This window comes from Homo sapiens, chromosome 1, assembly GCF_000001405.40.
Source record: "Homo sapiens chromosome 1, GRCh38.p14 Primary Assembly".
In the NCBI taxonomy this organism is placed as follows: Eukaryota; Metazoa; Chordata; class Mammalia; order Primates; family Hominidae; genus Homo; species Homo sapiens.
In genome coordinates, this window is record NC_000001.11 from 174615177 (window position 1) to 174642361 (window position 27185).

Genomic DNA, 27185 nt, shown 5'->3' on the forward strand with positions numbered 1-27185 from the left:
TTCTGCTCTGTTTTTTCCCCATCTTTGTGGTTTTATCTACTTTTGGTCTTTGATGATGGTTATGTACAGATGGGTTTTTGGTGTGGATGTCCTGTTTTGTTAGTTTTCCTTCTAACAGACAGGACCCTCAGCTGCAGGTCTTTTGGGGTTTGCTGGATGTCCACTCCAGACCCTATTTGCCTGGGTATCAGCAGCAGTGGCTGCAGAACTGCGGATTTTCGTGAACCACAAATGCTGCTGTCTGATCGTTACTCTGGAAGTTTTGTCTCAGAGGAGTACCCTGCCATGTCAGGTGTCGGTCTGCCCCTACTTGGGGGTGCCTCCCAGTTAGGCTTCTCAGGGGTCAGGGGTCAGGGACCCAATTGAGGAGGCATTCTGTCCATTCTCAGATCTCCAGCTGTGTGCTGAGAGAACCACTGCTGTCTTCAAAGCTGTCAGACAGGGACATTTAAGTCTGTGGAGGTTACTGCTGTCTTGTTGTTTGTGTGTGCCCTGCCCCCAGAGGTGGAGCCTACAGAGGCAGGCAGGCCTCCTTGAGCTGTGGTGGGCTCCATCCAGTTCGAGCTTCCCGGCTGCTTTGTTTACCTAAGCAAGCCTGGGCAATGGTGGGCGCCCCTCCCCCAGCCTCGCTGCCGCCTTGCAGTTTGATCTCCGACTGTTGTGCTAGCAATCAGCGAGACTCCGTGGGTGTAGGACCCTCCGAGCCAGGTGCAGGATATAATCTCCTGGTGCGCCGTTTTTTAAGCCCGTTGGAAAAGTGCAGTATTCGGGTGGGAGTTACCCGATTTTCCAGGTGCCGTCTGTCACCCCTTTCTTTGGCTAGCAAAGGGAACTCCCTGACCCCTTGCACTTCCTGAGTGAGGCAATGTCTTGCCCTGCTTTGGCTCGCACACAGTGCGCTGCACCCACTGTCCTGTGCCCACTGTCTGGCACTCCCTAGTGCATGAACCTGGTACCTCAGATGGAAATGCAGAAATCACCTGTCTTCTGCGTCGCTCATGCTAGGAGCTGTAGACAGAGCTGTTCCTATTCGGCCATTTTGGGTGCCCCCCGTTGGTATGCGGTTTGCTGTGAAATTTTGGTTTGGAAGTCTGTGAATCCTTGTCATTATCTTTGGTTATGGTACAAATTATTAGCTTTTGCTACTCCTGTTGTCTAAATGATGTTGGGAGAGAATTTAAACTTCAAAGCAAACATTTTAAAACTTGAGTCTGTCTCCATCTTGGGGAATAGATGGTTACCCTGCCTGCTTCTCTAATTCTGATTTATTCAGTACTCATTTACCTAGTGCCTACTAAAGTCTCAGGCACCAGGGAAACAAAGTAAATAAGAATTGGTCATGGTCGACCTAGAGGTGGCAATCAAATGGGGGTATTCAGACATGGACACTAGTTAATTAAAATAGCAGAGTGAAAGCCTAGAGGACGAATTGATTAAGTGAGGAAAAGGGAGACAAGACTTCCAAAATAATTATTTGTATGTCAGCTTAGTGATGGGAGTGGAAGTTCACTCCATTGCGGTTGAGAATAAAAAGGATACTTGACTATGTGGATAATTCTGAATTGAGTTTTATACTTCAGTTTTAAATGTGGAATGAAAGTTCTGTTAGACCAGTAATTCTCAAGTAACAGTTTGTGGCCTTTTGCTGGTGGCTACATAGACACTTGTTAAAAATGCAGACTGCCTGGAGGTACTATGTTCTGAAAAAGCATCTCACGTGATTCTTATAATTAGTAAGGTATGACACCTACTTTAATAAAGATCCAGGAGAGATAAAATAAATGGTAGTTGAAGTCACAGGAATGGATAAGATTTCCCTTGAAAGTGTGGAGAGTAAGCAAAGCAGAAGACAAGAAGTAAGTAGAGAAGGAGCCAGCAAAGGAACTAAAAAGGAATATACTGTGTCCAGCAGCTAGGATGTATATTTACCTGAGTCTTCCAGTTCTTAGAATGGTAATCCTCATTTCTGAATTGATATATAGAGAAAAAATGTAGAAGAAAAATCTCTAGACTGCTATTTATGATTTGGCTTTATTCTAAAAGGGATTAATCAAGTTTCAGCTTTGCCCTATCTCCAAATATTATGCCTACTTCTGGAGGAAGTATAATCACAAAATCTGTAGCAGAAACAGCAACTGACCCTCTCGAATAGTGAAAAATGAAGAAAGTAGAGTATCAGGAAAGAAAGTTGTAATATTAACCAGGCTTTGTAAAACAAAAAATGCTCCATCATACAGTTACTGGATGGAATGAGGATATTTAATTTACTGAAGTGACCTTTATAATTGAGAACTAGAACTGTTATAGTCTCTCAGGAACAAATCCTTCTGTTCTTAGCCATTCCTATTCTTTTGTATTGATGTTGTTGTGATCCATGCATCTTCTACTTTTAGGTAACTAAAACCTTATGTTAATGGAAATGTGCTGTTATAAAAGGGCATACAATGGCAATTATATAACCTGAATTGGCATAAAAATTAATTGTCTTTTTCAAAATCCACATCCCCAGATAGAATACCTGTTGATCCTGAAGGATTTTTAAAACATATACATTACCAGGGGGTGCAGCCAAGAGGCCAAATAGGAACAGCTCCAGTCTACATCTCCCAGCGTGAGCGACGCAGAAGACGGGTGATTTCGCATTTCCAACAGAAGCACTGGGTTCATCTCACTGGAGAGTGTCAGAAAATGGGTGCAGGACAGTGGGTGCAGCTAGTCAAAGAAAGGGGTGACATATGGCACCTGGAAAATCGGGTCACTCCCACCCGAATACTGCACTTTTCCAATGGTCTTAGCAAATGGCACACCTTTAGATTATAGCCCGCGCCTGGCTTGGAGGGTCCTATGCCCACGGAGCCTCACTCATTGCTAGCACAGGAGTCTCAGATCAAACTGCAAGGCAGCAGCGAGGCTGTGGGAGGGGCGCCCGCCATTGCTGAGGCTTGAGTAGGTAAACAAAGCGGCTGGGAAGCTCGAACTGAGTGGAGCCCACCGCAGCTTAAGGAGGCCTGCTTACCTCTGTAGACTCCACCTCTGGGGGCACAGCATAGCCAAACAAAAGGCAGCAGATTCCTCAGCAGACTTAAATGTCCCTGTCTGACCGCTTTGAAGAGAGTAATGGTTCTCCCAGCACGCAGCTGGAGATCTGAGAATGGACAGACTGCCTCCTCAAGTGGGTCTCTGACCCACGCGTAGCCTAACTGGGAGGCACCCTGCAGTAGGGGCAGACTGACATCTCACACGGCCGAGTACTCCTCTGAGACAAAACTTCCAGAGGAATGATCAGGCAGCAACATTTGCTGTTCACCAATATCTGCTGTTCTGCAGCCACCACTGCTGATACCCAGGCAAACAGGGACTGGAGTGGAACTCCCACAAACTCCAATAGACCTGCAGCTGAGGGTCCTGACTGTTAGAAGAAAAACTAACAAACAGAAAGGACATCCACACCAAAACCCCATCTATACGTCACCATCATCAAAGACCAAAGGTAGATAAAACCACAAAGATGGGGAAAAAACAGAGCAGAAAAAATGGAAACTCTAAAAGTCAGAGTGCCTCTCCTCCTCCAAAAACGCAGCTCCTCAGCAGCAATGGAACTAAGCTGGATGGAGAATGACTTTGACGAGTTGAGAGAAGAAGGCTTCAGACGATCAAGCTACTCCAAGCTACAGGACGAAATTCAAACCAAAGGCAAAGAAGTTAAAAACTTTGAAAAAAATTTAGACGAATGTATAACTAGAATAACCAATACAGAGAAGTGCTTAAAGGAGCTGATGGAGCTGAAAACGAAGACATGAGAACTACGTGACGAATGCACAAGCCTCAGTAGCCGATTTGATCAACTGGAAGAAAGGGTATCAGTGATGGAAAATCAAATGAATGAAATGAAGCGAGAAGAGAAGTTTAGAGAAAAAAGAATAAAAAGAAATGAACAAAGCCTCCAAGAAATATGGGACTATGTGAAACGACCAAATCTACGTGTGACAGGTGTACCTGAAAGCGACGGGGAGAATGGAACCAAGTTGGAAAACACTCTGCAGGATATTATCCAGGAGAACTTCCCCAATCTAGCAAGGCAGGCAACATTCAGATTCAGGAAATATAGAGAATGCCACAAAGATACTCCTCGAGAAGAGCAACTCTAAGACACATAATTGTCAGATTCACCACAGTGGAAATGAAGGAAAAAATGTTAAGGGCAGCCAGAGAGGAAGGTTGGGTTACCCACAAAGGGAAGCCCATCAGACTAACAGCAGATCTCTCGGCAGAAAGTCTACAAGCCAGAAGAGAGTGGGGGCCAATATTCAACATTCTTAAAGAAAAGAATTTTCAGCCCAGAATTTCATATCCAGCCAAACTAAGCTTCATAAGTGAAGGAGAAATAAACTCCTTTACAGACAAGCAAATGCTGAGAGATTTTGTCACCACCAGGCCTGCCCTAAAAGAGCTCCTGAAGGAAGCGCTAAACATGGAAAGGAACAAACAGTACCAGCCACTGCAAAATCATGCCAAATTGTAAAGACCATCGAGGCTAGGAAGAAACTGCATCAACTAACAAGCAAAATAACCACCTAACATCATAATGACAGGATCAAATTCACAGATAACAATATTAACTTTACATGTAAATGGAATAAATGCTCCAATTAAAAGACACAGACTGGCAAATTGGATAAAGAGTCAGGACCCATCAGTGTGCTGTATTCAGGAAACCCATCTCACGTGCAGAGACACACATAGGCTCACAATAAGGGACGGAGGAAGATCTACCAAGGAAATGGAAAACAAAAAAAGGTACGGGTTGCAATCCTAGTCTCTGATAAAACAGACTTTACACCAACAAAGATCAAAAGAGACAAAGAAGGCCATTACATAATGGTAAAGGGATCAATTCAACAAGAATAACTATCCTAAATATATATGCACCCAATACAGGAGCACCCAGATTCATAATGGAAGCCGTTAGAGACCTGCAAGAGACTTAGACTCCCACACAATAATAATGGGAGACTTTAACACCCCACTGTCCACATTAGACAGATCAATGAGACAGAAAGTTAACAAGGATATCCAGGAATTGAACTCAGCTCTGCACCAAGCAGACCTAACAGCCATCTGCAGAACTCTTCACCCCAAATCAACAGAATATACATTCTTTTCAGCACCACACCACACCTAGTCCATAATTGACCACATAGTTGGAAGTAAAGCACTCCTCAGCAAATGTAAAAGAACAGAAATTATAACAAACTGTCTCTCAGACCACAGTGCAATCAAACTAGAACTCAGGATTAAGACACTCACTCAAAATCACTCAACTACATGGAAACTGAACAACCTGCTCCTGAATGACTGCCAGGTACATAACGAAATGAAGGCAGAAATAAAGATGTTCTTTGAAACCAACGAGAACAAAGACACAACGTACCAGAATCTCTGGGACACATTCAAAGCAGTGTATAGAGGGAAATTTATGGCACTAAATACCCACAAGAGAAAGCAGGAAAGATCTAAAATTGACACCCTAACATCACAATTAAAAGAACTAGAGAAGCAAGATGAAACACATTCAAAAGCTAGCGGAAGGCAAAATATAACTAAGATCAGAGCAGAAATGAAGGAAATAGAGACACAAAAAACCCTTCAAAAAATCAATGAATACAGGAGCTGGTTTTTTGAAAGGATCAACAAAATTGATAGACCACTAGCAAGACTAATAAAGAAGAAAAGAGAGAAGAATCAAATAGACGCAATAAAAAATGATAAAGGGGATATCACCACCGATCCCACAGAAATACAAACTACCATCAGAGAATACTACAAATACCTCTACACAAATAAACTAGAAAATCTAGAAGAAATGGATAAATTCCTCGACACATACACCCTCCCAAGACTAAACCAGGAAGAACTCCCATTCATAATTGCTTCAAAGAGAATAAAATACCTAGGAATCCAACTTACAAGGGACATGAAGGACCTCTTCAAGGAGAACTACAAACCACTGCTCAAGGAAATAAAAGAGGATACAAACAAATGGAAGAACATTCCATGCTCATGGGTAGGAAGAATCAATATCGTGAAAATGGCCATACTCCCCAAGGTAATTTATAGATTCAATGCCATCCCCATCAAGCTACCAATGACTTTCTTCACAGAACTGGAGAAAACTACTTTAAAGTTCATATGGAACCAAAAATGAACCTGCACTGCCAATTCAATCCTAAGCCAAAAGAACAAAGCTGGAGGCATCAAGCTACCTGACTTCAAACTATACTACAAGGCTACAGTAACCAAAACAGCATGGTACTGGTAGCAAAACAGAGATATAGACCAATGGAACAGAACAGAGCCCTCAGAAGTAACACGGCATATCTAAACCATCTGATCTTTGACAAACCTGAGAAAAACAAGCAATGGGGAAAGGATTCCCTATTTAATAAATGGTGTTGGGAAAACTGGCTAGCCATATGTAGAAAGCTGAAACTGGATCCCTTCCTTACACCTTATACAAAAATTAATTCAAGATGGATTAAAGACTTAAACGTTAGACCTAAAACCATAAAAACCCTAGAAGAAAACCTAGGCAATACCATTGAGGACATAGGCATGGGCAAGGACTTCATGTCTAAAACACAAAAAGTAATGGCAACAAAAGCCAGAATTGACAAATGGGATCTAATTAAACTAAAGAGCTTCTGCACAGCAAAAGAAACTACCATCAGAGTGAACAGGCAACCTACAAAATGGGAGAAAATTTTTGCCATCTACTCATCTGACAAAGGGCTAATATCCAGAATCTACAATGAACTCTAACAAATCTACAAACAAAAAGCAAACAACCCCATCAAAGAGTGGGCGAAGGATATGAATAGACAGTTCTCAAAAGAAGACATTTATGCAGCCAAGAGACACATGAAAAAATGCTCATCATCACTGGCCATCAGAGAAATGCAAATCAAAACCACAATGAGATACCATCTCACACCGGTTAGAATGGTGATCATTAAAAAGTCAGGAAAGAACAGGTGCTGGAGAGGATGTGGAGAAATAGGAACACTTTTACAGTGTTGGTGGGACTGTAAACTAGTTCAACCATTGTGGAAGTCAGTGTGGTGATTCCTCAAGGATCTAGAACTAGGAATACCATTTGACCCAGCCATCCCATTACTGGGTATATACCCAAAGGACTATAAATCATGATGGTGTAAAGACACATGCACACGTATGTTTATTGCGGCACTATTCACAATAGCAAAGACTTGGAACCAACCCAAATGTCCAACAATGATAGACTGGATTAAGAAAATGTGGCACATATACACCATGGAATACTATGCAGCCATAAAATATGATGAGTTCATGTCCTTTGTAGGGACATGGATGAAGTTGGAAACCATCATTCTCAGCAAACTGTCACAAGGACAGAAAACCAAACACCGCATGTTCTCACTCATAGGTGGGAATTGAACAATGAGAACACATGGACACAGGAAGGGGAACATCACACTCCGGGGTCTGTTGTGGAGTGAGGGAAGGCAGGAGGGATAGCATTAGGAAATATACCTAATGCTAAATGACGAGTTAATGGGTGCAGCACACCAGCATGGCACATGTATACATATGTAACTAACCTGCACGTTGTGCACATGTACCCTAAAACTTAAAGTATATTTTAAAAAATACCGAAATTTTTGTAGGTATGTAGTTATTATTCAATTTTTTTGAAATGAATTAGCGACTGGAATGCATTCACTTTTCTTTGAAGTTTCAGGTGGTACTTTATGAAAAGGAATTTCCAAGATCATTTTAATAGTTATGTGATCAACTTTTCACTTAATATTCTTCCTTGCACTGATCTGATACAGATTTTTCACAACCTCAGTGAACAAGTGGTAAAATGGTCAACAGTGGTTCTAATATATTTAGCTTTGGAGGTTCTACATTAAAGGTTATTTTTAGAAAGTTTTCATAATTAACACAGTCTTGAGGAACTATTTTATTATGAATAATATTTTGTTAATGTCAGAGGAAAAGTTGAACAATGATACGTATATCTAAATAGAGAAAATTTACTCGTGAGAATACCACAGTGAGATCTTCAAATTTTTTGATGGCCAATTTGTGGAGTCTAACCAACAGCAAGTTAGGGAGAACACAATCCACACTGCCCTCAGTTCTGACACCAGTTGTAAATTCAGGGAGTTACCAAAACCACCCTTAAGTTCATAATTAATTAAACATGCTCATGGAAGCTGACAGAAAGCTGTTATACTCATAGTTACAGTGTATTACAACTATAGAATAGAGATTAAAGCCAGCCAAGGGAAGAAACACAAAGGGTTGAGTCCAGGAGAAGCACCAAATATGGAGCTTCCTTTGTCCTCTCCCCATGAGTAATGGATGTTACTTTTCTGGCATCAGTGTTTGATAATACACGTGGAGTACTGCCAGCTAGGGAAGCTCACCCAATCCTTGTTGCCCAGATTTTTTGTTGAGGCTCTGTCACATATTACCTATGTGGCTGACCTTTATTCTCCGGCCTCTCTGTAGGTAAAACTTGTATGGCATGGTCCAAAGTCTTAGTCATAAATAACATTGTTAGACTATTCAGTGTCCAAGGCCCCCATGCCTTGGACCCCCCTCATCAGGCATGATGTTCCATGGGCTAGAAGTCACCTATTACTAGCCAGTGGCAAAGGCCAAACTTCTCTTTGAGTAAGGTTAATTTTTCACTACACTCTATGTCATTCAGATAGTAAAAGCAGATGAAACCAAACTGGAACCAATGGCTTAACAAAACTGAGACTTCAGAGACTATGACAGATGAAATGGCTCCATATTGTCCACAGGATTAAGTTAAAGTGTTTGCATTGAAAATCACCTTTCTGTATCCTGGTTCTCTCTCAACTTGTTCTTTTATGAATTCCCTTCTGCAGTCAATTAGAGTCACATCTACTGGGCATGCCAAGTGCTTTCCTGCTTTGGAGGGTTTGTTTATACCACACTCGCTGTTAATATATTCACTCATGATCTGTAGGTTTTGTTGAGCCCAGCCCAGGCCCCATCTCCTGTGGAAGGCCACTTTCACCACTTTACCACTTTTGCAGACATTCTCCACTGATTTCCCATAGCTAACATTGCCCATATAGTTTTTTTTGGCTGTTAGCATATATTTCTTTCCATTGATATGTATACCTATATCTTGTCTTTACAAGTTGATCTTAAGCCTTTTGCAATTTAAGGAAATAATGGACTATGCCCTGTGTTTTTTTGAGCCCCCAGATCCTATTACAATGTCTTGCACATAACAAATGTTAAATAAATATTTGAATGGGAAGTTTTCATATAGACTTGCAAGTAGGAGTATATTATTCAAATATATGAATTAAATCATCTTGTAAAAATGATGTAAATTATACTTATAAATTTCTGAGGTAAGTTAATCCAGAAAAATATTGGAATCATTTTTGGCAATTCATTGAAGACACTGGAAACATAAAGGTCAGAAAAATGATGGAAAATGGTAAGAGAAGTATTGCCATTCCACTTCCACTTCAGGGCCTTTCACATTGCTTTCCCCTCTGACTGTAACACTCTTTCTCTAAATATTTCTCTAAATAATCTCACTCAGAGAGGCAAAACCACCCTACCTAATAGGTCAGCCCTTTCCTCACTATCTCTTTATCTTGCCTTTTTTTTTTTTTTTTGGATGGAGTCTTACTCTGTCACCCAGGCTGGAGTGCAGTGGCGCAGTCTTGGTTCACTGCAACCTCCGCCCCCCTGAGTTCAAGCGATTCTCCTGCCTCAGCCTCCCAAGTAGTTGGGATTACAGGCACCTGACACCACACCTGGCTAATTTTTGTATTTTTTTAGTAGAGACGGGGTTTCACCATCTTGGCCAGGCTGGTCTTCAACTCCTGATCTCATGATCCACCCACCTCTGCCTCCCAAAGTGCTGGGATTACAGGCATGAGCAACTGTGCCTGGCCTATCTTGCTTTATTTTTATATTACTTTTTACTAACCAATCAACATTATATGCTTAATGTCTTTCTTCCCTACTACCAGATTATAGGCTCCGTAGAGTCAGAGACTTATTCTTGCTAACAGTTATATCTTCTACATCTAGAATAGTGCCTGATTCTTAGTAAGTGCTAAGAAAAGTTTTTGTTGAATACATGAATGAGTTTGTACTATTCAGCAAACAGAAAGCTTAATTTTTATATACGTTCACTTTTTGTGGGGTAGTGTGTGTGTGTTTGTTTGTTTTCAGAGTGGGCCTTACTCTGTTGCCCAGGCTGGAGTGCAGTGGCATGATCTCAGATCACTGGAGCCTCGCCTCCTGGGCTCAAGTGATCCTCCCATCTCAGCCTACCAAGGTGCTGGGATTACAGGTGTGAGCCAATGCATCTGGCCTTACAGTCACTTTTTGTATTATTCAATTTATGAAAACATAATTGAGCTTGAAGAATTTCAAAGAGAAGCATCTAAAGTGATTGAGGAAGTGGTAGAATGTTTTCTAAAATTACTAAAAATTATTCAGCTTATAAAAATAATTATTAACTTTGGCCATATATGGATGCACACATGGTCAAAGTTATAAAATTATAAACTGTAATAATTAGGTTAAAATAGGCATGTTTCTCAAACCCTAGTTTTATCGAAGCACTCTTTAAAAGTTTTTCAGAGAAGTAAAGGAATATTATTTTTATACAGTGGATAATAAACATGGAGCTCTTTCTTAAAATTTGTATGTATTTCAAAAGAGTTCAAAGAGCTGTTTTGATAAAAATCACAATTTTAAAGATAATGCAAAATGAGAAATATTTATAACTTCGGAAAGTAACAGCATGGATTTCAGCTATGGTGCTTTATCCTAAAAGGAGTTGCAGGTTTCATTATTGCCTGTTGATATTAATTCCAAAAATGTCAAGTTCCCCAGTTGGGACAATGAACAGTCAGCAACCCTGAGAACGAAGGCATATCCAAATGTGACCACAGGAGTATTGGGTAGGTGTAACTGGAGTCTAACCCCACATGTTTGTGGTAGACAGTCATCTGGAACTCTGACCTAGATTACTTAGAATCTGTGGGAAATCCAGGCTATGCCCATAGGCCTCAGTGCCTCCTAGTCTTATAGTCTTTAAAGAATGCTTTGTTCTATTCAAGTATTTTCCACTGGAATCCCAGCACTTCCTTCAAGAACAAGGTACACATCATGAATATTGACTGCTCTCGAAATACGCTTCGTCCTCTCCTCTCTACACGCCTCCCTTTAGTTCTCATTGTAGCTTCTTTCCCTGAAGAGATTTATTTCTACCTGAAGCTAGAATATGGCTTATATTTTTGACCATTGTGTCTGGCTTTGATTCTGAAGTGTTTGGCAGCATTTGTGTGCAGTGACTGGGAAGCAGTTTGTTCACAATATGATTTTATTGAGGTTTTTTCCTTTGCTTCTGTATTTCCACACTTAAGACTCCCCCCACCCCATATTCAAGGAACAAAGGCTGGCAATGATCCAGCCCTTTTGTATTATTGTCTCTAGTTCATGATTTTAGTAGCATGTTTGCAACTAGAGTACACTTTTATATTTTCTCTTTTCATCTCTGCCTCTATGGATTTTTGGCAAACATCAAGGTGAATAAATCAGACCGACCACTGCAAACCCATCTGCTTTCAGGAACATGTTAGCAGACCAATTTGTGATGTTTTATCATCCAACATAGAACTAAAGGAGGCTCCCTGTGGAGTAAGAATAGAAGGCAAAGTCTGAGGTCAAAGAGTTTTTCAGCTTTGAATTATTTATCTGCCTACTGATTGTGCTAGGGACAGTCTATACTGGCATTTTTAATGGCACTAACAGATTGGTACGGTATAATACTTATAAAGTTGAAATGATTTTGTGGTAGATTTAAAGTGAAAATACAGCTTATACTTTGGATTTGATAATAGGGATTAATAAAAAAAGATGCTGTCACAGTTTTTAAAATGTGGCAAATCAAGGTACACAGTGTTCATTTGACAGGATATTACTTTTACACTTCAGCCGCTGCTAAGGTTACATTTGAAAACAGTCTTCCTCACTAAAATACCTTTCTAGTTGTTGACAGCCCAGAAATTGGTCATAAAAAATAATAGGCTGTGGTCATACAAAGCTGTCTTCCTAATGCTTGTTGACACTTCAATGCTGCATTCATTTCTTTCTCACAATGAGCAAGTAAGTGATGATTCTCTTTGAAAAAGAATTAAGAGAATTGCAAACATGTCAGTGTATATACGTTATACTGGGAGAACAGTTCATGTAATACTCTTGATAACAGGCACTAAATTGAACCTACTTTAAATTGATCAAAAGTTAAGCAAGCTGCTTATATCTCATAGAGTTGATTTTAAGCTGATCTTCAACAAGCTAAATTGTATTCTCTGCTGGACTATGATTTTATCCAGTAGAGATCAATGTCTTTTTTTGAGAATAAGTTTAGTCTTACTACCTAATGGTTTGGAAATTAAAGAGAACCCTTGAAAGGCAGATTTAGTTTCTCTGTGATGATAATGTCAAGGGCATGGGGTATGGGAGATGTAACTCAGTTTTTCAGACTTTATGACAAACTTCTTTCTACTTTGTGATCTGAGTCAGCTTTTGTTTATAGACCAACCTGACAGAGGCAGGAGAAAGGATACTCTCAAGAACTTTGCCTATGAGTTACATTCTTGGTGGTGATGGTCCAGAAAGGAGGCATATACTTGTGATAGTGGTTTTTGTCCTTTCCATACATGACTTCAACTATTTTTTATCTTTAAAAGCTAAATTCTAAAGTAATGATGGAAATGGTGACTGCTCTGGCAAATTTAGATTCTACTGTACCCTGTCCTTCCTATCCTTCTTCTGGACATATTTGTGTACATCTTTCTTTATTGTGTGGGTTACATGCAAAGCTGGGGCCAGAGTGTGTATTAGTTGATAAAAGCAGTACTTTATCTGAATAGTTGTTCACTGTTGCTTTTATGAATGGATTCATAGAAAAAAGGGTAATTTAGGACACATAAAATACATGATTGGAAATTAAACAGAGTGTGTGTGCATTAATCCATCATTGTGTTGTAAATCTCTAAAGGAATTGGTTTCATAATCATAATGTAACAGAAAACAGTTGTTTATTTAGGTATACAGATACAGAAGGATGTCTAAAATGTATATTCACCGAAAATTTTAAACAGTTGAATAATGGTTCTTATGGAAATGGGAAAAATATTTCTTGTCATTAATTAATAATTTTATTTATTTAACAAGTACTCAGTTTATACTAGGCAATATGCTAAGTACTTCACATACATTCTAAATAATGTTATTTTAAGTAACATTATGCATTTGATATTATCATCCCATTTTACACATGAGGAAACTGTAGTTTAGCAAGATTAAATAACTTGTCTGAGATCCTATAGGAATTAAGTGAGGAAAGTGGAAATAGAATCAATGAGTTTATCTGGCTTCAAGGCCATTATAATATCGTATTGGACTCTGAGGTACAAAATGGGAGATACACCTGCTGAGAAGTAAGTTGTGGAGCAATTTATGCGTCTAGATATTAGTGAAGTGGCTGCCCTAAAGGAATGACTTGTTCCCTCTTCTCATTCTGGAGAAAACTGGCAGGACTTAGGGAGCCCGTGCATATATGGGAATCTTCTCAGAAAATGAATTCATATCAGTTTTGGTTGTGCTATAAAATGTTTTCAGCCATATAAAAATAAAATATCATAAGAAAGCCCTTAGCTCCAGATATTTAGATGATGAATTATTGAGCCTCTTTTTGTCCTTCCTCTTTCTTCATTATATTTCTTGTAAAAATTGACCACTACAATCAGAATAAGTCTAAAAAGAAAGGAATTAATATTGAGGAGAAAAATTGTTTTGTTTTCCTTTTGCAGAATGTTAGGTTTTGTAACTTTCTTGACTCAAATATTTGTTGAATGAGTGAGTGAGTGAATTTGGATGATTAGATGTGCATTCCTGAAACATAAACTCTTTCTACTCTCAACTGTTATGGGTAATTGGAAGGTGGGTTGACATTAGCTTTTGCTTCAAAAACACAATTATTTTCTTTTGATTTTCACAAGTTCAGTACACAATTTCATTCCTATTAGGCTGTTTACGAGAATCTGTTCTATCTGTTGACCTTTACTTATATGAGATGGATCAGTGACTAATGTAGCAAAATACCTTATTTAGTCTATAAAGTGAAGTTCTAGAAATTATTCCCTTAGCCAAATGAGAGCACTGTATAAGAAGAAAACTCTAGGAACACATATGTATTAAACATTTAAAAGTAATCCTAGGAAGGGGAATTTTATTTTAATTAATTTTTTTTTTGAGACGGAGTCTCGCTCTGTCGCCCAGTGGCACGATCTCGGCTCACTGCAACCTCCACTTCCCAGGTTCAAGCGATTCTCCTGCCTCAGCCTCCTGAGTAGCTGGGATTACAGGCATGTGCTACCATGCCGGGCTAATTTTTTGTATTTTTTAGTAGAGACTGGGTTTCACCGTGTTGCCAGGCTGGTCTCGAAGTCCTGAGCTCAGGCAATCCGCCCGCCTCAGCCTCCCAAAGTGCTGGGATTACAGGCGTGAGCCATCGCGCCTGGCCAGGAAATTTTATTAAGTAAGGACAAGGTGATTTTATTTTCATTTGATTTTGTCCTTTATTTCTTAAATATGGAAGGTCAAGTGTGCATAGAAAAAAATTACTCAGTATTGAATAGGAGCGGTGAGAGAGGGCATCCCTGTCTTGTGCCAGTTTTCAAAGGGAATGCTTCCAGTTTTTGCCCATTCAGTATGATATTGGCTGTGGGTTTGTCATAGATAGCTCTTATTATTTTGAAATACGTCCCATCAATACCTAATTTATTGAGAGTTTTTAGCATGAAGGGTTGTTGAATTTTGTCAAAGGCTTTTTCGGCATCTATTGAGATAATCGTGGTTTTTGTCTTTGGCTCTGTTTATATGCTGGATTACATTTATTGATTTGCGTATATTGAACCAGCCTTGCATCCCAGGGATGAAGCCCACTTGATCATGGTGGATAAGCTTTTTGATGTGCTGCTGGATTCGGTTTGCCAGTATTTTATTGAGGATTTTTGCATCAATGTTCATCAAGGATATTGGTCTAAAATTCTCTTTTTTGGTTGTGTCTCTGCCTGGCTTTGGTATCAGAATGATGCTGGCCTCATAAAATGAGTTAGGGAGGATTCCCTCTTTTTCTATTGATTGGAATAGTTTCAGAAGGAATGGTACCAGTTCCTCCTTGTACCTCTGGTAGAATTCAGCTGTGAATCCATCTGGTCCTGGACTCTTTTTGGTTGGTAAACTATTGATTATTGCCACAATTTCAGCTCCTGTTATTGGTCTATTCAGAGATTCAACTTCTTCCTGGTTTAGTCTTGGGAGAGTGTATGTGTCGAGGAATGTATCCATTTCTTCTAGATTTTCTAGTTTATTTGTGTAGAGGTGTTTGTAGTATTCTCTGATGGTAGTTTGTATTTCTGTGGGATCGGTGGTGATATCCCCTTTATCATTTTTTATTGCATCTATTTGATTCTTCTCTCTTTTTTTCTTTATTAGTCTTGCTAGTGGTCTATCAATTTTGTTGATCCTTTCAAAAAACCAGCTCCTGGATTCATTGATTTTTTGAAGGGTTTTTTGTGTCTCTATTTCCTTCAGTTGTGCTCTGATTTTAGTTATTTCTTGCCTTCTGCTAGCTTTTGAATGTGTTTGCTCTTGCTTTTCTAGTTCTTTTAATTGTGATGTTAGGGTGTCAATTTTGGATCTTTCCTGCTTTCTCTTGTGGGCATTTAGTGCTATAAATTTCCCTCTACACAGTGCTTTGAATGTGTCCCAGAGATTCTGGTATGTTGTGTCTTTGTTCTCGTTGGTTTCAAAGAACATCTTTATTTCTGCCTTCATTTCGTTATGTACCCAGTAGTCATTCAGGAGCAGGTTGTTCAGTTTCCATGTAGTTGAGCGGCTTTGAGTGAGATTCTTAATCCTGAGTTCTAGTTTGATTGCACTGTGGTCTGAGAGATAGTTTGTTATAATTTCTGTTCTTTTACATTTGCTGAGGAGAGCTTTACTTCCAACTATGTGGTCAATTATGGAATAGGTGTGGTGTGGTGCTGAAAAAAATGTATATTCTGTTGAATTGGGGTGGAGAGTTCTGTAGATGTCTATTAGGTCTGCTTGGTGCAGAGCTGAGTTCAATTCCTGGGTATCCTTGTTGACTTTCTGTCTCATTGATCTGTCTAATGTTGACAGTGGGGTGTTAAAGTCTCCCATTATTAATGTGTGGGAGTCTAAGTCTCTTTGTAGGTCACTCAGGACTTGCTTTATGAATCTGGGTGCTCCTGTATTGGGTGCATATATATTTAGGATAGTTAGCTCCTCTTGTTGAATTGATCCCTTTACCATTATGTAATGGCCTTCTTTGTCTCTTTTGATCTTTGTTGGTTTAAAGTCTGTTTTATCAGAGACTAGGATTGCAACCCCTGCCTTTTTTTGTTTTCCATTTGCTTGGTAGATCTTCCTCCATCCTTTTATTTTGAGCCTATGTATGTCTCTGCACGTGAGATGGGTTTCCTGAATACAGCACACTGATGGGTCCTGACTCTTTATCCAATTTGCCAGTCTGTGTCTTTTAATTGGAGAATTTAGTCCATTTACATTTAAAGTTAATATTGTTATGTGTGAATTTGATCCTGTCATTATGATGTTAGCTGGTGATTTTGCTCGTTAGTTGATGCAGTTTCTTCCTAGTCTCGATGGTCTTTACATTTTGGCATGATTTTGCAGCGGCTGGTACCGGTTGTTCCTTTCCATGTTTAGCGCTTCCTTCAGGAGCTCTTTTAGGGCAGGCCTGGTGGTGACAAAATCTGTCAGCATTTGCTTGTCTGTAAAGTATTTTATTTCTCCTTCACTTATGAAGCTTAGTTTGGCTGGATATGAAATTCTGGGTTGAAAATTCTTTTCTTTAAGAATGTTGAATATTGGCCCCCACTCTCTTCTGGCTTGTAGGGTTTCTGCCGAGAGATCCGCTGTTAGTCTGATGGGCTTCCCTTTGAGGGTAACCCGACCTTTCTCTCTGGCTGCCTTAACATTTTTTCCTTCATTTCAACTTTGGTGAATCTGAGAATTATGTGTCTTGGAGTTGCTCTTCTCGAGGAGTATCTTTGTGGCATTCTCTGTATTTCCTGAATCTGAATGTTGGCCTGCCTTGCTAGATTGGGGAAGTTCTCCTGGATAATATCCTGCAGAGTGTTTTCCAACTTGGTTCCATTCTCTGCATCACTTTGAGGTACACCAATCAGACGTAGATTTGGTCTTTTCACATAGTCGCATATTTCTTGGAGGCTTTGCTCATTTCTTTTTATTCTTTTTTCTCTAAACTTCCCTTCTCGCTTCATTTCATTCATTTCATCTTCCATCACTGATACCCTTTCTTCCAGTTGATCGCATCGGCTCCTGAGGCTTCTGCATTCTTCACGTAGTTCTCGAGCCTTGGTTTTCAGCTCCATCAGCTCCTTTAAGCACTTCTCTGTATTGGTTATTCTAGTTATACATTCTTCTAAATTTTTTTCAAAGTTTTCAACTTCTTTGCCTTTGGTTTGAATGTCCTCCCGTAGCTCAGAGTAATTTGATCGTCTGAAGCCTTCTTCTCTCAGCTCGTCAAAATCATTCTCCATCCGGCTTTGTTCCGTTGCTGGTGAGGAACTGCGTTCCTTTGGAGGAGGAGAGGCGCTCTGCGTTTTAGAGTTTCCAGTTTTTCTGTTCTGTTTTTTCCCCATCTTTGGAAGTTCTGGCCAGGGCAGTCAGGCAGGAGAAGGAAATAAAGGGTATTCAATTAGGAAAAGAGGAAGTCAAATTGTCCCTGTTTGCAGATGATATGATTGTTTATCTAGAAAACCCCATCGTCTCAGCCCAAAATCTCCTTAAGCTGATAAGCAACTTCAGCAAAGTCTCAGGATACAAAATCAATGTACAAAAATCACAAGCATTCTTATACACCAACAACAGACAAACAGAGAGCCAAATCATGAGTGAACTCCCATTCACAATTGCTTCAAAGAGAATAAAATACCTAGGAATCCAACTTACAAGGGATGTGAAGGACCTCTTCAAGGAGAACTACAAACCACTGCTCAAGGAAATAAAAGAGGATACAAACAAATGGAAGAACATTCCATGCTCATGAGTAGGAAGAATCAATATCGTGAAAATGGCCATACTGCCCAAGGTAATTTATAGATTCAGTGCCATCCCCATCAAGCTACCAATGACTTTCTTCACAGAATTGGAAAAAACTACTTTAAAGTTCATATGGAACCAAAAAAGAGCCTGCATCACCAAGTCAATCCTAAGCCAAAAGAACAAAGCTGGAGGCAGCACACTACCTGACTTCAAACTATACTACAAGGCTACAGTAACCAAAACAGCATGGTAGTGGTACCAAAACAGAGATATAGATCAATGGAACAGAACAGAGCCCTCAGAAATAACGCTGCATACCTACAACTATCTGATCTTTGACAAACCTGAGAAAAACAAGCAGTGGGGAAAGGATTCCCTATTTAATAAATGGTGCTGGGAAAACTGGCTAGCCATATGTAGAAAGCTGAAACTGGATCCCTTCCTTACACCTTATACAAAAATCAATTCAAGATGGATTAAAGATTTAAACGTTAGACCTAAAACCATAAAAACCCTAGAAGAAAACCTAGGCATTACCATTCAGGACATAGGCGTGGGCAAGGACTTCATGTCCAAAACACCAAAAGCAATGGCAACAAAAGACAAAATTGACAAATGGGATCTAATTAAACTAAAGAGCTTCTGCACAGCAAAAGAAACTACCATCAGAGTGAACAGGCAACCTACAGAATGGGAGAAAATTTTCGCAACCTACTCATCTGACAAAGGGCTAATATCCAGAATCTACAATGAACTCAAACAAATTTACAAGAAAAAAACAAACAACCCATCAAAAAGTGGGCGAAGGACATGAACAGACACTTCTCAAAAGAAGACATTTATGCAGCCAAAAAACACATGAAAAAATGCTCATCATCACTGGCCATCAGAGAAATGCAAATCAAAACCACTATGAGATATCATCTCACACCAGTTAGAATGGCAATCATTAAAAAGTCAGGAAACAACAGGTGCTGGAGAGGATGTGGAGAAATAGGAACACTTTTACACTGTTGGTGGGACTGTAAACTAGTTCAACCATTGTGGAAGTCAGTGTGGCGATTCCTCAGGGATCTAGAACTAGAAATACCATTTGACCCAGCCATCCCTTACTGGGTATATACCCAAATGACTATAAATCATGCTGCTATAAAGACACATGCACACGTATGTTTATTGCGGCATTATTCACAATAGCAAAGACTTGGAACCAACCCAAATGTCCAACAATGATAGACTGGATTAAGAAAATGTGGCACATATACACCATGGAATACTATGCAGCCATAAAAAATGATGAGTTCATGTCCTTTGTAGGGACATGGATGAAATTGGAAACCATCATTCTCAGTAAACTATTGCAAGAACAAAAAAGCAAACACCGCATATTCTCCCTCATAGGTGGGAATTGAACAATGAGATCACATGGACACAGGAAGGGGAATATCACACTCTGGGGACTGTGGTGGGGTGGGGGGAGGGGGGAGGGATAGCATTGGGAGATATACCTAATGCTAGATGACGAGTTAGTGGGTGCAGCGCACCAGCATGGCACATGTATACATATGTATCTAACCTGCACAATGTGCACATGTACCCTAAAACTTAAAGTATAATAAAAAATAAAATAATAATAAAATAAAAAAATAAAAAAAGAAAAAAAAGAAAAAAATTACTCAGTGTTAGGCAAATTTACTCTCTAGATTTTTTTCTTTTTACCAATTTTTCTTTTCCTGAATCAGACTATTGGAACCATTTAAACACAGCATAATGCTAAATGCATAATCAGTTCCTAGGGAATACAGTCCAACGATTTCTCTCTCTTAATGTCCTGAAAAGTACAAAAAGAGTTATCCTGCGGGCCAATAGGCACATATTTACCCCTGAAATATTTCAGCAATGGCAGTAGTAACATTTTTATTCCTCATCTTTCAGGTAGTTTATAAGTGGAAACTATTAACTTATCGGAAGAGAGCTCTTCTGTTGGAGAAAACCTGGCAGTGAAAACTTTGGTTTGCCTGGTTACCAGATTTTTGTACTCAAGACTCCAGACAAGATAAAAGAAATGTTTCATAATATATCACTTTATATAATACCTTTATACTTACCTTATTCTATACCCCCACCCCACCCTGCAGTTTTCTTTATCATTAGAAACTACATTTACCTTGGCAAATATAAATTTTCTCTGTATCCTTTTACTGAAGTTATGGTGATTTTTTAAGGCTCTATTTTAATTCAGGTTTAGCATTTCATTCCTGTAAGCCATCAGAATTTCCTCTGGATCGATTTGTAATATGTTCAATGTTTGCTAGGAAATTTGGAAGTTTTTGGTTTGCTTCCTCTCTTTCTGTATATAAGATCTAATTACCACCCAGCATGAAATAGCAACTGAAATGAAGGCAGCAAGAAAGGGTAGTGGCTTACCTTAGAGCTAATCAACCACCCCCTTCTTGTATACTTCGCAGCTATCAAGAGAAAGAAAAATGGCATTCATTAAAATAACATATATTAAACTTTTTTTCTTTCTTGATTTGAGACTGAAGAGAAAGTTTCTTCAAATCTTTATGGAAATAAGACATTAAGCAATTCTTTTAATTTGCAATTAGTAGTCTGATGTGAATTGTACAAAATATTTTCACCATCAGTGTTGCTATAAGTAGCCCCATACTATTTTCTTGACATTTAAAAAGATAAACATTTCTAGGAATAAAATAAAATCAAGAGAATGTTTAATCATTTTTATAAGGCTAGAATTTCACTCAATTTGGGGTTTTGGTTTCTAAATTTGTCTTCAACAAATATCTAGGCTTATCTTTAAAGAAGATATCATCCTTCACACCTGTAATCCCAGCACTTTGGGAGGTCGAAGTGGGTGAATCACGAGGTCAGGAGTTTGAGACCAGCCTGTTCCAACACAGTGAAACCCCATCTCTACTAAAAATACACACACACAAAAAAAATAGCTGGGCGTGGTGGCGGGCACCTGTAATCCCAGCTACTTGGGAGGCTGAGGCAGGAGAATCGCTTGAACCCGGGAGGCGGAGGTTGCGGTGAGCCAAGATCGTGCCATTGTACTCCAGCCCGGGCAACAGTGTGAGACTCTACTTCAAAAAAAAAAAAAAAAGAGATCATCTTAATATAGTAGCCTGTAGCTTCCTGTTTTGTGGAATCAGTTTGTTGGGTAATTAACCTGGGAAAGATTGACAGTATTTTTACTTTTTAAATGACCATGGTCTGAGTTTTTATCAGATTGTCAGATTTAAAAATTAGATAATTTGTGGTATTAGACAGATGAGAAATACATACTCTACTATTGTTTGGAGTATGTATTGGAATGACAGTTCTGGAGAGAGAGAGTACATTCATCAAAATTGGAAATGCATGTAACTTTTGCCTTAGCAATTAAACCTCAAGGAATTTATCCTTGAACACGTGCATAAGCCATGTATAAAATATTCCTTATGATATTGTTTGTTATATAAATAGAAAAAAATGCAAAGAAGATGGTCATTAATAGGAGAATGTTCAGTAAATTATGATATATCTATATCCAGATATACCTTATTTTTAAAAAGTAACCACTCCTACAGAGAATAAACTATATGTACATGTCTTGATAAGGAACACTCTATGTTATCCCATTAAGTGAAAGAAACAGTCTAGTTTGCTTCAATGGAGATGTATGTATACAACTTCCCTCCATCCCTGCCCCTTCTCCCCATATAAACATACATACACACACAAATATGTATAGATAGATGGGTGAAAAGATACAAAGGAGCTGTTGGTAGCACTTATCTTGGGTATAGGACTATGGGTCTGGGATAGAAGGGAAGTTTTTATGTTTTTCTGTTGTTTACTTTTCTTGCTGTTTGAGTTTTTTACCATGTGTATATATTATATTTCATAACTGGGAAAAAATTTAATAACCAGGTCTATTTTCTTTCTTTTTTAGGACTCAGCCCAGGAGAGTGTTATTACTCGAGATATTCATCGTACATTTCCCGCACATGATTACTTTAAAGATACTGGAGGAGATGGTCAAGAATCGCTCTATAAGATCTGCAAGGTAGGACTCTCTTCCTCACTTTTTCTAAATTATTTTACAGAGCTATATTTTAGAAACCCATTTAAGGATTTTTTTACTCTGTCTTCATTTCTTATTTGCACTATGCCATGTTTTCTGCTTTGCACACACGCTATGAGATCCTCAGTACTGATCCCAGAAGGTGACTTTTCGGTTGCATGTTTCGTGCCTCCTCATGAGGGAGGAGGCGCAGCATAGCCTCAGTTTGGCTCTCCTGCTAACAGGAAAGGAACAAAAGGTCCTCTGAGGCTATGCTATAAAAGCTCAAAAGAGTCCTAGATGACTCTGTCCTTCTGACAAGATCATGCAGCAATTGTCTCCATTTTTCTGACAACAGGCAAGTGTAAGAATCAGTGTGCTTATTGTTGAATACTGGCAAATTATTGGATGTTGTTGATATATTCTGAGTTACGTCACATCATATATTTTTGTACGGTTTTTATATCCCATTTTGAAATCTTTTTTCTCCCTCATTATAAGTAGGCCTGGAAAAAACCTGTTTCCTGATTTTCAGTAAATGTGCTCTGCTTGGATACAGAAGATTCTGTCTCTGTCAGTATAGAATAGCCATCAAGTTATTAATTTTATCAGAAATGCAGAATGAAGTGTGGTGGGTATACTCACATTGTTGATATCTAACATTCTAAAGAGATGGTTAATGAATAATGAACTGCACAAAAATTTGGTAATAATATGGAGAAAAAGGCAAACATCATGGCTAATTTGTAAGTTAGGTAATCAGTTCCTGAATAATCCAATTTAGCCTTTGTAATGAGTAGCAAATATTAGCCAGTGTGGAATTAAGAAGTATATTCACAAATCTGTTTCATTTTATATTTACTGTTTTTTAAAAACAGCACTTATAAAAGCACTCACTTCTCCAGCATTTAAGAGGATGTGGAGAAATAGGAACACTTTTACACTGTTGGTGGGACTGTAAACTAGTTCAACCATTGTGGAAGTCAGTGTGGCGATTCCTCAGGGATCTAGAACTAGAAATACCATTTGACCCAGCCATCCCATTACTTGGTATATACCCAAATGACTATAAATCATGCTGCTGTAAAGACACATGCACACGTATGTTTATTGCGGCATTATTCACAATAGCAAAGACTTGGAACCAACCCAAATGTCCAACAATGATAGACTGGATTAAGAAAATGTGGCACATATACACCATGGAATACTATGCAGCCATAAAAAATGATGAGTTCATGTCCTTTGTAGGGACATGGATGAAATTGGAAACCATCATTCTCAGTAAACTATCGCAAGAACAAAAAAGCAAACACCGCATATTCTCCCTCATAGGTGGGAATTGAACAATGAGATCACATGGACACAGGAAGGGGAATATCACACTCTGGGGACTGTGGTGGGGTTGGGGGAGGGGGGAGGGATAGCATTGGGAGATATACCTAATGCTAGATGACGAGTTAGTGGGTGCAGCGCACCAGCATGGCACATGTATACATATGTATCTAACCTGCACAATGTGCACATGTACCCTAAAACTTAAAGTGTAATAAAAAAAAAAAAAAGCACTCACCTACATATTCTAACCAAGTAGGATTAATGTTTAATTCTGCAAATGGCACGACTTTCATTAAAGTCCTTGCATGTTGGTGGTTTTGGCCTCTTCACACTCCTGTCTCTTTTTTTCTTACTTTTTCTCTCTCTCATATTTTTTTATCTAACCATTTTGGAGGATTATAAATATATGCTGATTAGAAATCTATTTTTATATGAATGTGTCATTCAGAGCTAGAAATATATAACTTATAATCTGAGAGTATACTGATCTTTAGAAAGTGATATATCATCTACTTTGAAAAGTACCAAAGACCATTGGATGCCACAAAAAAAGGTATATGTTCATTATATGCTTGTGAAAGACAAAAGTAATTATTTAAAACATTTTTCTACTACTTTGAAATTCTGCAAGCTGATTAACACTGGCTTTTGTAAAGAGGTTAGGAAAATTTATATCATTTCCAAGTTTATTTAAGAGGGTCTGGTTTATGGCATATGCAACATTTTTTTCCCCTAGCATATAGTATATTTTCAGCCAGTCAGTGACTTTCCCTTCAGCTTTTCTCTGATTGATACTAGATACTTTCTTCACATAACTAAAACAGATGGTTCTAATGTGCTTGCAGCTTCTGACTTAACATTTTGCTCCATTGTAGTAAAAATAGTATTTGCCTTGTTATGTAATATTTAGAGGGGAAATAATCTGAAACATTACCAAACACAAAAATAAAAGTTGAACGATTGGCACTTTTAAATAGTTGATACACTTTGATTTGGTGTTGCAAATAATAATGCAACCTTGAATTCATTTGAAAATACTCATCAGTACATTCCCAGAGCTCATGTGGCCATTTTAGATTATCAGTATACATTTTACAACATGACTAAACCATTTTAAAACTCTTTCTGAATGAAGAATATTGTAAAATGTATATCTGAGATACTTTATTATCGAAAAGTAGCTTAAATCACACTAAATTTTGTGAAGATGTAGAAAACAAAATTACATTAGACATAGTATTAAATAAAAGCAATAAAAGTTTTTAAGGATTTTAATGCTGTACTGAGCTGTATATACATAAAAATAATTTCACAACAGTCTTTGGTAATGGATATGAGCAGAGATGTATACATCCTACCCTGTAGACCGCTTGGTTTGTGATTGACCCGGTTCCTTCCCATCTTGATTTACTGTTATTTAGTATCTCATGCCAGGAAACCTTAAGTTTGATGATAGCTCACAAATAGGATAGCATATCTATGAGTAATTTAGTATAGCATACTTATGAGTAATTTAGAATGGAATATTATTCTCAAGCTTCCACATCCACTTTTCTTTGCTTTTTGTATCCAATTTGAACCACAGTCTTTTATTTTATGACCCCCATCCCATATTCCCAAAAGCTGCCTGTGTGTAACCTTTAAGGCTTAAAGGTAGTCTAACCATTTAAAGGTAGTCTAAGGCTTAAAGGTAGTCTAACTGTGTAGTCTAACTGTTCTAACATTGTTTCTAGAAACATTGGTTCTAGAATAATAACTAGCATTATACCTCACACTCAGCCGTCCACCTCTGAGTTTCTATTCTGGACACCCCGCGCAGAACTGAATAAACATTAATAACACCTTGATCTTATCTCAGCTGCTTTGCTATATGTAAATAAGGACAGTTTTGCTTTTCCTTTACCAATCCTTATTCTTTTTCTATTTGTCTCTTGTCTTATTGCACTGACCACACCTTTAGTATAGCGTTCAAATAAAGCTATCATAGCAAACATCCTTTTCTTGCTCCTGATTTGAAAGGAAATGCATCTAATGATTAACCACTAAGAAAGCTGCATCTTCTTCACATCAGCAACACAATTGTAGGCCTTTTTTTTTAAAATAGTGTTTTCTATATTAAATATAATATAATATATTATATTTAATTATATTAATTAAATATAATTTTAGATTATATTAATTAAATATAATTAATTAAAATAATTTTACATTTGCAGAGTACTTTGACATATATTACCTCATTTATTTTTGACAATTCCTCATCAATGGAGCCTACACTGGAGATATAATATGCTGTGCTCTTAAATTGAGCAGAAATTAAGAGAATTTCAGTGACAATAAGTTTAGAAATCAACTCTGTTTTCAAGGATACAACAATCTGACTTTGTAGTTGAAAAGTTTTCTGTGGCTCTGGTGAAAGGAGAAATGATTTGAACTGTCACATTAGAGGGAAGACTGTTAAAAACTCATTGTCATGTTTTAATGGCCCTGTCAATTCCAGTTTTGCCTCTTAATATCTTTCTTCAGAGTAGGAGGAAATCGAAATGATTCAAAGCTTCTTCTGTTGTCATTAATTTGTATGGGGGAAGTTGAGCTGAAAGTATTAGTAGAATTCATAGGTTTCTGCAGATGAAGAGGTTTGCAAATTAATAGATTTCTGCAAATGAAAGTTTCTGAAAATTTGGTTCTTCCCTCTTTCTCTCCCTGTCTTTCCTATTGGTTAGGTCAATAACATATTTTAAAAGAATGTCCATGAGACAGGGAAGAATATACTACCACCCCAAATATATTTTGCATTTTTATTATTTAACATGAGATGTAAAAATCTGCTATAAGTTGGGAGACAGGTTGGTATAGTTTAAAGCACTGGGCATCAGGAAATCTGGTTCTGGTTTTGATTCTTTCACTAAGTAGATCTAAGAATGAGGGAAATTTGTAAGGGTGTGGTGTCATAAGATTGTTCCGGTTCCAATGTTCTGTGATTCTCAGTGTTGTTCAAATTTTTTTTCCTGACATATAACACATAAATGCAGAATTTAGCAGTTAAATCCTGCGTCAGTTATTAGCTCTGGCTCTCAATACTAAAGATGTAAAAGGGTCTTCTCCTTAAATCTGAAGATTTTACCTGGCCTTCTGTTACAGTGTTCGGTTTGTTACATCAAATGGAGTGCATTAGTAGTTTAGTTTTAGATATACATCTCTTTATAAGACCTAAGACCAGTTAGTCATAGTAATCAGGTAAAATATTATTCAGAACAATATGATTTAAAGTGATATTTGATGTACAATTTAATTTGTGCATATTGCTTTTTCTCATTTTTTGTTTGGTGTAAATGCTCTCTGAAAAAAGAGGATACTGCTATTAACTTAATGGGAGAGATTGAATATATTATACAGAGATTAATACCTTTGTTTATCTGGATTAATAATTTGATAGCATAATGGTTTATAGGAGGACAAAAATAAACTTAACCCTTATTTTACCAAATATTTTTATCAAAAAGATTGGATTTATTATAAAAACTAGAGCAGTTAAAGT

At 38.1% G+C, this 27185-nt stretch overlaps 1 protein-coding gene across 10 annotated transcripts in view; it reads left to right on the plus strand.

Moving 5' to 3' along the window:
• Positions 1-27185, plus strand: part of RABGAP1L (RAB GTPase activating protein 1 like) — an 835789-nt gene that overhangs the window by 455657 nt on the left and 352947 nt on the right. For all 10 annotated transcript variants that reach the window (NR_158982.1, XM_011510223.3, XM_047436028.1 and 7 more), the window contains one exon: positions 22199-22312. Coding sequence is in view for 9 of the 10 variants with exons in the window: in XM_011510223.3 (XP_011508525.1) it covers positions 22199-22312 (114 nt within the window). In the remaining variant the exon portion in view is untranslated. The remainder of the gene's footprint in view (positions 1-22198; positions 22313-27185) is intronic.